Here is a 1754-nt window from a genome sequence, read left to right as displayed (position 1 = left end):
CATTTTGTCCTCCTCAAACAGAGATAAAACGAACAAGAAAGGAAACATCATAGTGTACATTACTGACAGTAACTTTCTTGGTCAAACTTTAGTCAGGTTCTTTTGAGCCCTTTTCTCTATGAGGCCTCTTCCTTTGCCTGCTGAGCCTAGTTTTGGCAAAGAATCCCACGAAGGGGAAAATGAAGAATTCCCCCATCTTTGATATCCAGTCAAGCTCGTCTTCTTACACTGTTAATATTTAATCAAGTTCCTCTTCCCTCTCACCCTTCATACCTAATCAAGTTCCTCTTAGTTATTTTCTATCTTCTCTCTTATCCTGCCCTCTGGTTATGATTTCTGTCTCTTGTGTTCAGAGTTGAAAGAGATGGGGAGAATGGAACCAATTTGGAAAAATATTTCAGGGTATCTTTCACCTTTTCTAGAAAAGCAGAGAGAGCCAGAGTAATGATCCTGAGTCTGCGCCTCCCCGTGCAAAGAGGGCATGGAGTAGAGGGGTCTGGAACAAGGACTGTAGACCCAGACATATCAAGAATCAAGTTCTACCAGCAGTGCTTATTTGCTGCATGAGTTTGGGCAACCTCCGTTTCTTTACCTGTAAAATAATAATAGTACCTGGGACAGACCAAACAAACCATGCTCACTTCACAAATCCATGTTAGAACCTGAACTCTTGAGTTTAGATTAGCTTCTAAAGCTGCTCTTACATCCTGACCCATTGAGTTTGGTGCTGTCTCTAAAGTAGCAGTTGTCTCAACACATGGCTGCTCGTTTCTAGAGACATAATTAAAGAAAATGGAAAAGAAGGATGCTTTAGATACTATGGGCACTCGACATCCAGAGTGAAATCTTATACTTCAGAATAAACAAAGCATTTACAATTTTTTCTTAGCAACAGGGGAATCTGAATCACAAATGGAAGACTTTACGTATGTTGTCCCTAAACAGAGATGACATTTCAATTAGAGAGCGAGGATAATTTAGCATGTTTAGGCAGCACCTAAGCCTTTTGGTTTCATGGTATTTACCACCCTGCCAACATGACCATTGTTATTAGAGTGATGCTATTTTTGAACTGTGATAGTCTCTATTTTCATGCAGAAATTTCTTTCTTTCCAACATTTAATACTTTATAAAATTCTCGAGATTTTTTCACATTATCTTCATGCCACAATAAAATAAGAGCCACAAATGTGGAAAGTGATAGTACAAACAAGAAAAGAACTGGTAAGGCATTTTAAACCCTGAAAGTTTTTTAAAACATATTACTTTGATCCTATTCTATCGGCCAGCGCTTCATGATCTATTATTTCATTCCGACCCTGCATGTCTGTGTGTGTATGTGTGTGTGTACATATGAGCATGCATGTGTGTTTAATCAACACATCTCTGAGAAAATCAACAACTTCTCATAAAGGATGATATACTCCCTTCTAAGAATGAGTCCTGACTATCAGTTTTCAGTCAGAAAGTGTTCACTGAAAGTCTACAATGTACTCAGCAGTATGCTAAGCTAAGAATTCAGAGAAAAGTTTCCTGCCTCCATGGAGTTTACTATCTACTTAAAAAAAGAAAACACTAAAGCGTGAGGTAGGTCAGGTAGATAATTTTTTTCCTCTTCTCCCTTTCTTCAGGCTGGCACATGCTCTCCTCTTTTCCATCCTCAAGATTGACATGTCCCTAATCAAGGTAGACACCTAGAAGTATAAGGTGATGATACTCAGGATAGAGGGAGGGAAAGAGATTCTTCTACAGTA

This window comes from Homo sapiens, chromosome 5, assembly GCF_000001405.40.
Source record: "Homo sapiens chromosome 5, GRCh38.p14 Primary Assembly".
Taxonomy (NCBI): Eukaryota; Metazoa; Chordata; class Mammalia; order Primates; family Hominidae; genus Homo; species Homo sapiens.
The sequence above is the reverse complement of the archived record's forward strand: the minus strand, read 5'-3'. Positions refer to the sequence as shown.